The sequence below is a fragment of the Homo sapiens genome, chromosome 8 (genome assembly GCF_000001405.40).
Source record: "Homo sapiens chromosome 8, GRCh38.p14 Primary Assembly".
In the NCBI taxonomy this organism is placed as follows: domain Eukaryota; kingdom Metazoa; phylum Chordata; class Mammalia; order Primates; family Hominidae; genus Homo; species Homo sapiens.
Window position 1 is genome coordinate 124442871 of NC_000008.11, and position 14551 is coordinate 124457421.

General features: G+C 43.7%; 1 protein-coding gene across 1 annotated transcript; it reads left to right on the plus strand.

Annotated features, from left to right (window-relative positions):
• Positions 1–7949: 7949 nt before the first annotated feature.
• On the plus strand, positions 7950–10156 carry TYW2 (tRNA wybutosine-synthesizing protein 2). Its single transcript, NM_017956.4, has one exon. It carries the CDS (start codon positions 8058–8060, stop codon positions 9402–9404), a length of 1347 nt encoding a protein of 448 aa, NP_060426.2. The 5' UTR covers positions 7950–8057; the 3' UTR covers positions 9405–10156.
• The last annotated feature ends 4395 nt before the right edge of the window (positions 10157–14551 follow it).

The window sequence follows — 14551 nt, forward strand, 5'->3', positions numbered from 1 at the left end:
CTTGAGTAGCTGGGATTACAGCTGTGTCCCACTATGCCCTGCTAATTTTGTATTTTTAGTAGAGATGGAGTTTCACTACGTTGGCCAGGCTGGTCTTAAAACTCCTGACCTCAGGTGATCCGCTTGCCTCGGCTTCCCAAAGTGCTGGGATTACTGGTGTGAGCCACTGTGCCTGGCTAGGTTTACCTTGTTTTCTTGCACAAAAATTACAACAGCAATACATTCCACAGCAACAAAACAGAATCTGTTCCAAGCATCTGAACAAAAAGGTTTTCCATGAACCAGACAATTGCTGGAACCACCCTGATATGGGGTCAACTGACAGTGTGTTAATGGCAGAGATATGGGTGTCTAAGTCCTTCATGGCCTGAGTAATATTATGTTAATATTATGGAATATACAAACAACATTCCATTTTGATGATAGCACAAGATCTCCCTTGAGCCGCTGTTAAAATGTCCAAAGCCATGCAGTTTCGTAAGGCTACCTGTCTAATTTGAGAAGTCTCTTCAGTTAGTAGGATAATGGCATGCTGTGTAGTATTGAAAGCTGTAGCTGTATGTTGGAATACAGATTCAACTTGCCACTTGACATCCATTACAGCCACCTCTGACAGTAATATAGCCCTCGAGAAAAACCACCAAGTAGGGTCAGGCGCGGTGGCTCACGTCCATAATCCTAGCACTTTGGGAGGCCAAGGTGGGTGGATCATCTGAGGTCAGGCATTTGAGACCAGCCCGGCCAACATGGCAAAACCCCATCTCTACTAAAAATACAAAAAAATTAGCTGGGCGTGGTGGCAGGTGCCTGTAATCCCAGCTACTCTGGAGGCTGAGGCAGGAGAATTGCTTGAACCCAGGGGGCGGAGGATGCAGTGAGCGGAGATCATGCCACTTTACTCCAGCCTGGATGTAAGAGCGAAACTCCGTCCTGGAAAAAAGAAAGAAAGAAAAAAAAAGAGACCTCTTTGGTCACCTGTGGCGAGATTTCCCAACTTTCCAGTTAGACGGGAGAGAGTCTAATTTAGTGAGGATATGTCCTGGGAGATAAGGATGACCCCATGTACATCTTCCAATCCAATTACAAGATAAATACAGCCAGCCATGAGACCCACATGCCCATAGCCAGCCCCAAGGAGAAAGACAAGCAACCAGTGGCTAGGACTTATTCTGCCATTCCATGCACATTTGGTCACTTACAAGGGTGTGATTACATTGTTGGGGTGGTAACCTTCCCATATTACAGGTCTCAGTCTCTTCATAACTGTTACTATGTCTTTCAAAGCATAGGGACACTATGCTTGATACCTGCACTTGGACAGCTGTCATCCACCCAAGTCCATCATGCACAGCATAACAGGGCAGGGTGGAATTTAGCTGTTTCTTCATTAAACAAAAAAGACGCTTCCTTGTTTCATTGTGAGAAATGAAAGGGCTGGACCCTTTGTTTTTATAGTACATGGGAAAACGTGATGGATATTCACTCCAATCATAATGATGATCCCATAAACTCATATTGGCTGGCAGGATGTATCATGGCAGCACCACGGTGGAGGAGAGCTGTAGTTCTCCACACACCCGGCAATCCATTTTGTTGTGTAGGGAGGCTGAAGTTTGTGCCCAGCCAGCAAAGAGATTGCCTCTTAGCTAATACCAATATGTGTCCAGAATTGGGATATTAATCCAGATTTTTATGTTATTTATCTTTCTTGTTTCTTCTAAGCAGGAGCCAGATATCACTGGTTGGTTCACAGGAATAAGTGGAATCAGTCTCTTGTGTTCCAGCAGCCTGTGGGACTTCATAAGAAACAGACTTAATTCAAGATCAATGAGCCCAGCTGCTTCTTCCTTGAAGTGTAACTGCGGTTGAGGCACTAAGGAGTACTTACTTAGTAGGGTCCTTTCCACTGTGGGAAAGTTGATCTGCTAGGGACCATTTTTTCAAGTCATTAACAGGATCCCATTTCCTGGCTGGATTACAATAGGATTTTTTTCCTTAGTGAGGGAAGGAAGTCTCTCATTTCTGTATTCAAGAAGAGCTTTTTGCACCTGACCTAAGTTGGCAACATAATTCTGTAATTTGAAAGTATCTCCATCTACTAGGAAATCAGCAATTCTTTCAGAAAGGCTTTCCGTACATTATTTCAAAAGGGCTGAGCCTTCCACTGGGGCAGCCCAAACTTGCAGCGAGGCCACAGGCGATAGACGGAGCCAGGTTTCTGATGTTTCCTGTCAGAGCTTAGCAAGGGTCCTGTCTAAAATTTGATTGGTCCTTTCTACTTTTCCTGAAGACTGTGGCCTCCATGCGGAATGAAGACCATATTGAATTCCTAGAGCGGATGCTATGTCTTGGTTATTGTTGCTGTAAAGATGGGCCATTATCACTCTACAAGCTTTTAGGCAACCTGAATCTGGGAATCATATCCTTGAATGAAAATTTAGAAACCTTGATTGACTTTTCAGGCCAGATAGGAAAAGCTTCAATCCAACATGTAAAGAAAGGTATCAACCAACACTGATAAATATTGGAATCCTTTACATGGGGGCATTTGGGTATAGTGTGTTTGCCAATCTTCTTCTGGGTACGACCCCCTATGCTGAACAGGCTTTACTAATGGAGGAGGTAAAGTTTGGTTGTTTGAGGTTTTTTTGGGCACACAATTCACAGGCCCAAGTCACTTGTTTTACTGTTCTAAGAAAGTCTTTTCGGCCAGGCACGGTGGCTCACGCCTGTAATCCCAGCACTTTGGGAGGCTGAGGTGGGTGGATCACGAGGTCAGGAGTTCAAGACCAGCCTGGCCAACATGGTGAAACCCTGTCTTTACTAAAAATACAAAAATTAGCTGGGCATGGTGGCAGATGCCTGCAATCCCAGCTACTCGGGAGGCTGAGGCAGAGAATTGCTTGAACCCAGGAGGCAGAGGTTGCAGTGAGCTGAGATCACACCACTGCACTCCAGCCTGGGTGACAGAGCGAGACTCCGTCTCAAAAAAAAAAAGAAAGTCTTTCCCTATAAACAGATGAGCCATATTAATTGAAATGAGAAATCTCTTCCCAAATGAGTAGAGCCATGCCAATACTTAACTATTTTCCATTGATCAGCTCTTGGTACATATCATCTGTCATTTTCATCAATTAGCCATCTGGAAGTGCTTATAGTTAACCCATGGGTCTTAGCCCATTTTTGTTCTTTTCTAGTATTAACCATGCTCTAGTTTTATCGTCACCAAGGCAGTGGGCACCAACATGCCTACCAGATTAACTGGTTCCCTCAAATGAAGCTGCCTCAGCTGTAGCATCTGCAAAAGAATGCCCTTTTATTATTTTGGAGTTTTCTTTCTTTCTTTTCTTTTCTTTTTTTTCTTTTTTTTTTTTTTTTTGAGTCAGAGCCTTGCTCAAGTTGCCCAGGCTGGAGTGCAATGGCACGATCTCAGGCTCACTGCAACCTCTGCTGCCCAGGTTCAAGCAATTCTCCTGCCTTAGCCTCCCAGGTAGCTGGGATTACAGGCACGAGCCACCACGCCCAACTAATTTTTGTATTTTTAGTAGAGATGGGGTTTCACCCTGTTGGCAAGCCTGGTCTCGAACTCCTGACCTCATGATCCGCCCGCCTTAGCCCCTCAAAGTGCTGGGATTACAGGTGTGAGCCACAGTGCCTGGCATATTTTGGAGTTTTCTTTTTGATGTCCCTTGCAGTGAATCACAGCAACTTCCTTAGGCAGCAAGGAAGCATCTAGTAGATTTAAAATTCCCAAATAATGTTCTATAGGGGAGCCCTTAGAAGTTAAAGAGTCCCCATTATTTCCAAATAGCAGCATGAGCATGAAGCACCAGAAAGCCATACTTGGAGTTTGTGTACATGTTAATTCTTTTTTAAAATTATTATCCTTTTTTGAGACAGAGTCTCGCTCTGTCTCTAGCCTGGAGTGCAGTGGCATGACCTTGGCTTACTGCAAGCTCTGCCTCCTGGGTTCAAGTGATTCTCCTCCCTCAGCCTCCTGAGTAATTGGGACTACAGGTGTGCACCACCACGCCCAGGTAATTTTTGTATTTTTAGTACAAATGGGGTTTCACCATGTTGGCCAGGCTGTTCTGGAACTCCTGACCTCAAGTAATCCGCCTGCCTCAGCCTCCCAAAGTACTGGGATTACAGGTGTGAGCCACCACACCCAGCCCTAGTGGCCCGTCTTTTAAATCCTGCCAGCTGGAATAAATTTGTTCCATAGCTTGTGTACATGAATGATCTAGGGTGCCTTTGGATCCAAGTAGATACGTAGCTAGGATTAAGGTCTTCTGTTATACTTTAAGAGTTATATCAAGAGTATCTAGCAATAAAGCCTGATAATTTAATAACTATCCCCTACTCATCTATTGGTGCCCTTTAGCTTCTAGGGCCTCTGTTATTTGGTGTGGGGTCAAAACCTCCAGATGTTGTCCCAAAGTTAATTTATTGTCTTCATCTATGAGAAGAGCAGTTGTTGCAACTGCCCTGAAACATCTGAGTCATCCTGAAGCCACATGGTCAATTGGTTAGAAAAATATGCCATGGGTCAAGGGATGTATCCCTGTTTCTAGACAAGAACATTTAGGGCTGTCCCTTGTTTCTCAGCCACATAAAGGAAGAAAGTAAAGCCTGTCCCTAAACCCACGGGGAAGAATTGTCCAAGTTAACACAGAAACCAAAAGATTATTAGGTAATCAAAAGTAAAGACCACAATAGGGGACTCAGCAAAAGAAATGTTTCACTAGAGAAGGGAAATGACAAAGTTCTAGAAAGGAATGTCCAAGTTCAGGCCAGTAGCGGCAAGCAGGACAAGATTTACATGGCCTTGCCATTTGTAACCAAAAAGTAAAAGTCATTCCATTAGCAAGGAGATGAAAAAGAACTGCTGAAAAGCAATCTCCAGTTTTCCATCCTGGAGCAGTTCACCTAGGGGGGACTGGTATAATTGCTGCCAGGCTTAATCTTTCACATTGGACCTTTTCATTTAAAACTTGTAAATGCGAAATTCCAAGTAAGCTTTGCAAAAAAGGAGAGACAATAAACAATTCATTTAAGTGGTCTAGATCTAGGGAAAGTAAATATTACAGAGCCATTTGTCCCCAATGTCTTCTAGCAACATGCCAGAACAACAGGCAAATGGCCCATAACCCAAAGGCAAACAAGAAAAAGGAAAGTTAAAAACCTCAGGACCAGTTCAACAAGATCTCTCTCATAAAGTAGCAGTAAAGCATAGAAAGCAATCAGGAAACTGGCAAGTGGCAGCCTTTGGAAAGCTCTTACAGAGAGCACAAGGAGGACGAATCCACAGTGAATAATGGTTAACATCCCATTGTGCTAAACCCATTTTCAGCTGTGAGGGGCCTTTAATCCTCCCAAGTAGGCCTCAAACCCAATCTTAGATAAGTGTCCTTGTCCTTCATCGGTATAAAAATGTATTCCCCTTCTTACCCAAAGTCAGTCAGTTGGTCCTGCGCAGTCTATTTCTTTTGGGTTGAAGGTCTCACCTCAATAAAGTCCTTGGGAGTTGCCACAGGAAATGTTACTTAAAAGGAATTTTGTTCCAGACCCAAAAAACAGGTTCTTGGATCTCAGACAGGAAAGAATTTAGGGCCAGTCACAGAGCACAGTGAAAGAAGCAAGTTTATTAAAGACTACTCTATTACAGAGTAGGGTGTTCTCAGAAGGCGAGAGGAGGACCCCACACCAAAAATTATGTAGCTAGCTAAGAATAATGGTCTCATGTGCTTTAGTACAACAGCTTGTGATCCACTTGTGACAGAGTATTAGTAGTGTTATTCTCTGTGTAACTATTGATTTCAGCAAACATTTATGAAAATACTATTATCTTTAAAGAGAAACCTATTCTTAAACTAATAATGCTTTCTGTTCTCAAGATATCAGGACATCTTCTTAAGTTCTGGGTCTTGTTTAGTGAGTAAGAATCATTAGCTCGTTCAGCCAAAAGGTCTTGTTATGGGTAGAGGGTGTCCAGGTTCGTGACATCTTGAACAAAGAATTGGACAAAATGTACAAACCAAGGAAAGAATGAAGCAACAAAATCAGATTTATTGAAAATGAAAGTACACTCCCCAGGATGGGAGCAGCCCCTGTCTAGGGGCTCAACAGCTGGGTTACAGAATCTTCTGGGGTCCAAATACCCACTAGAGGTTTCTTACTGGTCACTTGGTGTTCACCCCATGCAAATGAAGTAGTGGCCTGCAATCAGAGGCTGAAGTAAAGTTACAAAGTTGCACTCCTATGCAAACGTCTGATTGAGGCCATTATTTCATTTGCATGGAGTGCACACCAAGTGGCCAATGGGAAACCTCTAGTGGGTATTTGGATTGATTGGTGGCTTTCTGCAACCAATCAGAGGTACTTTCAATTTTCCTTCTGCCCTGCAGAAAAGCAGGTTTGCAAAGGGAGTAACCTCTGGTCCTTCTGTTACTTAGGCATAGATAGTTGGTTTTTTCCTTTTGATTTAGTTCTACGAAGTCAGTGTGAATCAGCCTTAGGTTCCCTGCCTCCAGACCCTATTTTCCTGCCTCAGTCTTATTATGGAGAGTACTTAACTTTCTGGGAATGTAACCCAGCAGGTTTTGCTTTATTCAGCCTTTATTCAAGATGGAGTCACTCTGGTTTGGACTCCTCTGACAGCGGGAGTGAAGTAGAAGTGATAGGGTTTCTTTACAGTTCTTATATCCAACTATTTGATTTAGTCTATATGGAATTCCCCTTTGTCTTCTTTAGGAATATCAAAGCATTTCAACAGGTATTTAGTACCTGTGAGCTAGCCAACTTGTTACTTTGTATCTTTTTAAGTATCTACTCTTTACTAGTTATTGTCTAAGACACTATAATGTCTCTACTCACTATAGCAATCTTCTGAAGATTAGATTCCATTTTATAAGTGAAGATTCCAATTTTGAGGGGTGATACGATTTACTGGAACTCAGATCCTTCTGACTTTCAAATAGTTGTTTCTTGGACCAAAGGACAATGAAACAGTGATGACTATATCTGCATGAAAAGGGAAAAAGGGAGCTGTATCTGACTCTTCACTTTCAGAAAATAAGGTGGCTGCTGATGCTAACCTGAGAGCAGCATTAGGCTATGGGAAAGCTTTCTCCAAATTCAGATCATCATTTTGTTACAGGAAAGGGGTCCCAATGCAGACTACAACATGGGGTTCTTGGATCTCATGCAAGAAAGAATTCAGGGCAAGTCCGCAGTGCAAAGTGAAAGCAAGTTTATTAAGAAAGTAAAGGAATAAAAGAATGGCTATTCCATAGACAGAGCAGCCATGAGGGCTGCTGGTTGCCCATTTTTATGGTTATTTCCAGATGATATGCTAAACGAGGGGTGGATTATTCATGCCTCCCCTTTTTAGACCATATAGGGTAACTTCCTGACGTTGCCATGGCATTTGTAAACTGTCATGGCGCTGGTGGGAGTGTAGCAGTGAGCACCACCAGAGGTCACTCTCGTGGCCATTTTAGTTTTGGTGGATTTTGGCCGCTCCTTCACTGCAACCTGTTTTATCAGCAAGGTCTTTTTGACCTGTATTTTATGCTGACTTCCTATCTCATCTGGCGACTTAGAGTGCCTTAACCGTCTAGGAATGCAGCCCAGTAGGTTTCAGCCTCATTTTACCCAGCTCCTATTTAAGATGGAGTTGCTCTGGTTCATGCGCCTCTGACAATTTCATGTTAATTTTTCTCTTTGAATTCATGAGCAGCACTGAAGAGAGTGCATGAGGTTTCTGGAAAATAGCAATTTGAAGTCTTTTAGTCCATAAGATTCCCTGTTATAAATGTCTTCCTAGGCTGAAAAAAAAGTAATGGTTGACCATAAAAAAGATGGCGGCCGCAGCTTCTCCACAGCAACGGCAACGCCATTCTCAAGCAAGCGCATCAATATATTTAGTTCCGGCCTCTTTGCACGTCATTTCCGGCACCGGCATGGCCGGGTGAGCTGCAGGCTACCTTATTTAAGACCGGGAATTTAGTCAGCCTGGTGAGCCGACTCTGAGGAGATGGAGTATCGCTGAGGTGATGAGAGAGAATGTGGTTGTTAGCAACATGGAGAGAGAAAGTGGGAAGCCCGTGGCTGTTGTCGCAGTTGTGACTGAGCCTTGGTTTACCCAGCGATACAGAGAATATCTCCAGAGGCAGAAACTCTTTGATACACAGCACCGTGTGGAAAAGATGCCGGATGGCTCGGTGGCGCTACCGGTGCTGGGAGAGACGCTTCCAGAGCAGCACCTGCAGGAGCTGAGGAATCGTGTTGCCCCAGGCAGTCCCTGTATGCTCACGCAGCTCCCGGATCCTGTTCCTTCGAAGAGGGCCCAGGGTTGTTCACCTGCCCAAAAATTGTGTCTTGAGGTGAGTCGCTGGGTGGAGGGTCGGGGAGTCAAGTGGTCAGCCGAGTTGGAGGCTGATTTGCCCCGATCATGGCAACGGCATGGTAATCTCTTGTTGCTGAGTGAAGACTGTTTCCAAGCCAAGCAGTGGAAAAATCTGGGACCGGAACTCTGGGAGACCGTTGCCTTGGCACTTGGCGTCCAGCGTTTGGCAAAACGAGGGCGGGTATCACCGGATGGTACTCGAACTCCAGCAGTGACACTGCTGCTGGGTGACCATGGCTGGGTAGAGCATGTGGATAATGGTATCCGTTATAAGTTTGACGTGACCCAGTGTATGTTCTCCTTTGGAAACATCACTGAGAAGCTTCGAGTGGCATCGTTGTCCTGTGCTGGAGAAGTGCTGGTGGATCTCTATGCAGGGATTGGTTATTTTACATTGCCTTTCCTAGTTCATGCTGGTGCTGCCTTCGTCCATGCTTGTGAGTGGAATCCCCATGCTGTAGTTGCTCTGAGAAATAACCTTGAGATCAATGGAGTAGCAGATCGGTGCCAAATACACTTTGGAGATAACAGAAAACTGAAGCTCTCAAATATTGCAGATAGGGTGATCCTGGGGCTGATTCCCAGCTCTGAAGAAGGCTGGCCCATTGCCTGCCAAGTGTTAAGGCAGGATGCTGGAGGCATTTTGCATATCCACCAAAATGTGGAATCTTTCCCAGGGAAGAATCTTCAGGCTCTTGGAGTCAGCAAAGTAGAGAAAGAGCATTGGCTGTATCCTCAGCAAATTACCACCAACCAATGGAAAAATGGAGCTACCAGGGATTCTAGGGGAAAAATGCTGTCACCAGCCACCAAGCCAGAGTGGCAAAGGTGGGCAGAATCTGCAGAAACTCGAATCGCCACTCTTCTTCAGCAGGTGCATGGGAAACCATGGAAGACACAAATTCTGCACATCCAACCAGTGAAATCCTATGCTCCCCATGTGGATCACATAGTCCTGGATCTGGAATGCTGCCCCTGTCCTTCAGTTGGCTAGAGGAGGTAGATCCTGGGACACATGGGATCCACGTGCGAGTGGCCCTTAAATGTATCAGTTCAGTCCAGGTTGTCATCCCTTTTGTCCCCTGGTGATCAGTTTTTTTCATATTTTATAGCCCTGAAAGCAGGCTCTAGATCAATTCAAATTATTTCATTTGTCTTTCATTGATAACAGAAAATGAAATACCTGTTTGGGAGAAGCAGCATGGCCCATTGAAATGAGGCTCATCTGTGCAATTATGAATTCCAAATTCTGACCTCAGTTCTGGAATTGAAGTTTCAGTATGTTTTGGCCTCGGGTTTCGTTATTTGCAAAATGAGAGTTTCTTTGAACTGTCTCACGTGACTATTAAGCAACTATACACAGGACATCGGTTATTTTAGAGTGAAAGACACAGTGCTTTTTCCAAATTGCTCTGGCTACCATATAGAAAATTGACTGAAGGAGGGCCAAGATGGAAACAGAGAGACCAGTGAGGAGGCTTCTGTGGTTGTCCAGGTCTGAGGTGATGGTAACTTGGACTCGGATGGTGGTAATGGGAGGTAGATTGATATGATAAATAAAATTGACAGACCAAGCAATGGAATCAGAATTAAGTCCTTAACATGAAGCTGCTTTGTTATTATGACTGACTAAATTAGAGAGAGAAGGGAACAAAAATTATTTTAGTGTATTTCCATTCCCTTACTGTGGCATTCCTAAATGATTGTGAGGGGTTGTCTTATAAATTTGGTTTGTTGTGGTAGAAATATGGTTAAGAATCACCAGTCTATTTTTTTTTTTAAAGCTCATCTGCTGAGGACGAATCACTGTTCTAAATCATAGGGAATCTAGATTTCTAGCCTCAAGCTTGTGCAATAGCTGCCAATTAATACTTATTAGTTTAAAGTTCCTATTAAAATCTTAGATTCGTATAGGCCTCATACTCCCTCTTCATCTTCCTACCGTGGCTGAGAACAGGAGGGACAACCTAAGAAGCTATAGGGAATGTGAGATATTCTGCAGAGCATTTCCAGCCTCACCTTATTTTATGGCTGTCTGCCATAAAAGATGGTTTGCCACTGGAGTGAATAATTGTTTGTTGTTTTGTTTGTTTGCTTTTTTGTTTTTTTGAGACAGAGTCTTGCTCTGTCACCCAGGCTGGAGTGCAGTGGCACCATCTTGGCTCACTGCAACCTCTGCCTCCCAGGCTCAAGCGATTCTCAAGCCTCAGACTCTCAAGTAGCTGGGATTACAGGTGTGCAGCACCATGCCCAGGTAATTTTTGTATTTTTAGTAGAGATGGGGTTTCACCATGTTGGCCAAGCTGTTTTGGAACTCCTGACCTCAAGTGATCTGCCCACCTCGACCTCCCAAAGTGCTGGGATTACAGGTGTTAGCCACCACGCATGACCCAAGATGACTAATTGTTGATTACCACTCAGAGCTTTGTTCTGGTGTATTTTGAAGCTATCTAGGCTGGTTTGCTAGGTGAAGGAAATATAGAAAAGTGTGGCCTTGTATGATTGTACCTGACATTTGGCTGGCTGGATTTGGGCATGGCTACTCATCCTTCTCTTGCAACAGTAGCAGTAAGGACAGGTTGGTGCTGTTTGTGTTATCCAACAAATATTAAGTGCCTATTATATACAAAAGCCACAGGAAACATAACGATCCATTAGATAGAGTTCCTGTCTCTGAGAAACCCACAATCTAGCAGCAGAAATAACACAAGTACTCAAAGAAAGACTTGGAATGCAGTAAGATGAGTGCCATGTGAGTGATAGCACGTTGTAGGAATGAAAAGGTGGGAAAGGAGTTCTCAGAACTGAATAGTGAAGTCTTCAGAGGTAGTGTTTGAATTGGCTCATGAAAACTGGGTAAGATTTTGATGGGTAGGTTGCGGGTAGAAACAGGCACTAGTAGAAGAGAATAACAGATGCAAAAGTTTGAATCCTCAGAAAATGGTATGTTGTTATTAGATAAGTTTGGAACAGAGGAAGCAGTGAGAGATGTGTTGAAGATGGGGGTTGTTGTAAGGATTAAAAAAGCACTGTGTCTTGTACACAGTAATCCCCTAGGGAGATGTTAGCCAGCATGTGATCCCACCACAAAAACAAACAGCCTGCTTATTTCCATTCCCATCTCACAGAGCGGTCTTCCTGTGTTACCTTAATCATCTCCTCCTTTTTTTTTTTTTTTTTGTTTGAGATAGAGTCTCACTCTGTCACCCAGGCTGGAGTGCAGTGGCACAATCTCGGCTCACTGAAACCTCTGCCTCCTGGGTTCAAGCGATTCTCCTGCCTGAGCCTCCCAAGTAGCTGGGACTACAGGTGTGTGTCACCACGCCTGGCTAATTTTTTGTATTTTTAGTAGAGACGGGTTTCACCGAATTAGCCAGGATTGTCTCAATCTCCTGACCTTGTGATCTGCCCGCCTCATCCTCCCAAAGTGCTGAGATTACAGGCATGAGCCACCATGCCCAGCCAGTCATCTCCTCTTTTACATAGTGGGTTTTTCCTCACTTGTGTGTCCATGGCTTGCTGTCCTCAAACTATAAAGATACCAACCTGGAGGTTGAGCCAATATGGGAAGGGAACAAGGAGAAACAATGAGGAAGAGGAGCCAGAGAGTCAGTCTGGGGACTGAGGATTTGCCTTTTTGCCACAAGCTCTGGATAGACAGCTGATGTCAGGTGTGGCCAGTTGAACTCATTCGACCAACAGTTGTTGGACTCCTGCATGCTTGCACTCTCCCTCTCTCATATATATATTATATATATATTCATATAATATATATATCATATATAATATATATATATTCATATATAATATATATTCATATATAATATATATATTCATATATAATATATATATTCATATATAAATATATAAATAAATAAATATATACATATATATATGGGCCCTGTGTGTGCAGTGATGTAAGACTGACATGGCTCTGCCTTCATATAATTTATTTGTTTTTATTTTTTGGAGATGGAGTCTCGCTCTGTCGCCCAGGCTGGAGTGCAGTGGAGCGATCTCAGCTCACTGCAACCTCCGCCTCCCAGGTTCAAGCAATTCTCCTGTCTCAGCCTCCTGAGTAGCTGGGATTACAGGCATCTGCCACCATGCCCGGCTAATTTTTGTATTTTTGGTAGAGAGGGTTTCACCATGTTGGCCAGGCTGGTCTTGAACTCCTGACATCAAGGGATCCACCCGCCTCGGCCTCCCAAATGCCTCTTAGAATTTAGATTCCACTCATTCAACTCCTGACTCCTCTACTTTCTGGGTGACCTCAGGCAAGTTATGAATCTCTCAAGATTTAGTTTCCTTATCTGTACATTAGGGTTAACAATTGTACATATCCTGTAGGGTAGTTCTTAGGTTTAAATGAATATATGTTAAGCTGTCATCATCGTGACTCACTGAGTGGTGAATACTTTTGTAAAATAAAAAGTATCTGAGACAGGTCTCAATCAGTTTAGAGGCTTATTTTGCCAAGGTTGAGGACACACATGGGAAAAAGACACAAGTCACAGTAGGATCTGTGGCCCACACATTTTTCCAAAGAGGATTTTGAGGGCTTCAGTATTTAAAGGGGAAAGTGAGGGTAGGAGGAGTAGGGGTAGAGGAAAAAAACAAAAAGGAGTGTAGGTAGTGAGTTAAGTGGTCACATTCTTGTGAGGCTTTGATTAGTGCTCACTGAATCCACATGTTACATGTGAAGTGGGGTAGAGGAACAGTCAATTAAGCATTTGTCAGGACTCAGTAAATATGCATATGTCTGAGGTGGGCAGAGGGATGGTTTCTAGTCTTGACTTTGTGCTGTATCTGTGAAGATAAGCTGTTTACATTGTCAAGGTAAGGGAGGCCAACTGAGGAGATATGGAATCTTCTATCTTGCGGCTGTGTTTAGGCAAAAGGAAAGGCAGTTTTTTTGCATGACTGAGTTTCCAGGCTTCACTTTTCCCTTTGGCATAGTAAGTTTGGGGTCTGACTTGTTTGTTTGTTTGTTTGTTTGTTTGAGATGGAGTTTCGCTCTTGTTGCCCAGGCTGGAGTGCAATGGCACGATCTCAGCTCACCACAACCTCCGCCTCCCAGGTTCAAGCGATTCTCCTGCCTCAGCCTCCCGATTAGCTGGGATTGTAGGCATGTGCCACCACGCCCGGCTAATTTTTGTATTTTTAGTAGAGACAGGGTTTCTCCATAGTCAGGCTGGTCTCGAACTCCCGACCTCAGGTGATCCACCCACCTCAGCCTCCCAAAGTGCTAGGATTACAGGTGTGAGCCACTGCGCCCGGCCTGGGGTCTGACATTTTATTTTCCTTTCACACTTCATTCTATCAGTCAGTCTTTGTATATGATGAACCACCACTTTCCAATTTGGCTGTGAGGGGTTGCTGTATGTCTGGCCTACTTGAGGCAGAATGTCATTATTTTGAAAAGCCATTCACTGATTAATTAGGAGATACTGTGTACTCTCTCCATTAAGCGCTGTGCTTGGAGCCAGTGACATAGAGATGAATAAAACTGAGTCCTGCCCACAATGGGATCACTATCTGGTGACACAGATACAGAGAAAACAATGTCAGTGCTGTTTACTGAGTGCTTAGATAGAAATAAGGGTTTTTATGGGCACACATAGGAGAGGCAGCCACCCTCATTTGAGGATGTGGGTTGAGGATTGAACAGGGTGACTAGGAAGGTAGGAGCAGGGATGCCTAAGGGAGTGTTAAAGAATGAGCAGGAGTTAATGTGTGGATGGAAGAACAGAAGCCTCCCTTAAGCTTTTTCTCTACTTAAGCATGTTCATTTACATTTTAGTTTTCTTTGAGGACTTGCTGGATTGCCCTGGTTGGGAAGAGGCATCTTATGGAACCAATGAAAAAAGACTGAAGGGTTCGGGAGGCTCATGGGGTCCTTGTCATCTCAGTCCAGCAATTTGTATAAGCTCTAAAGGCTTCCCATGCAAGCTTCAGTATTAGTTGCCAGTCAATGCAGCCACCTGATAGAGATATTGTGATTTTTAAAAAATAGTAATTTTTAAAAACTCCCTCAAACTTGAGCTGCTTTATTAACTTTGTAATTTAAAAAATTATATGAGTGCAGTAATATATGAGTACAATATGTGCCTTTGAAATACACAAATAGGCCAGGTGCGG

What these genes read in the sequence shown, in the direction of transcription:
- TYW2 (NM_017956.4), top strand. Translation starts at nt 8,058, where the DNA reads ATGAGAGAGAATGTGGTTGTTAGCAACATGGAGAGAGAAAGTGGGAAG.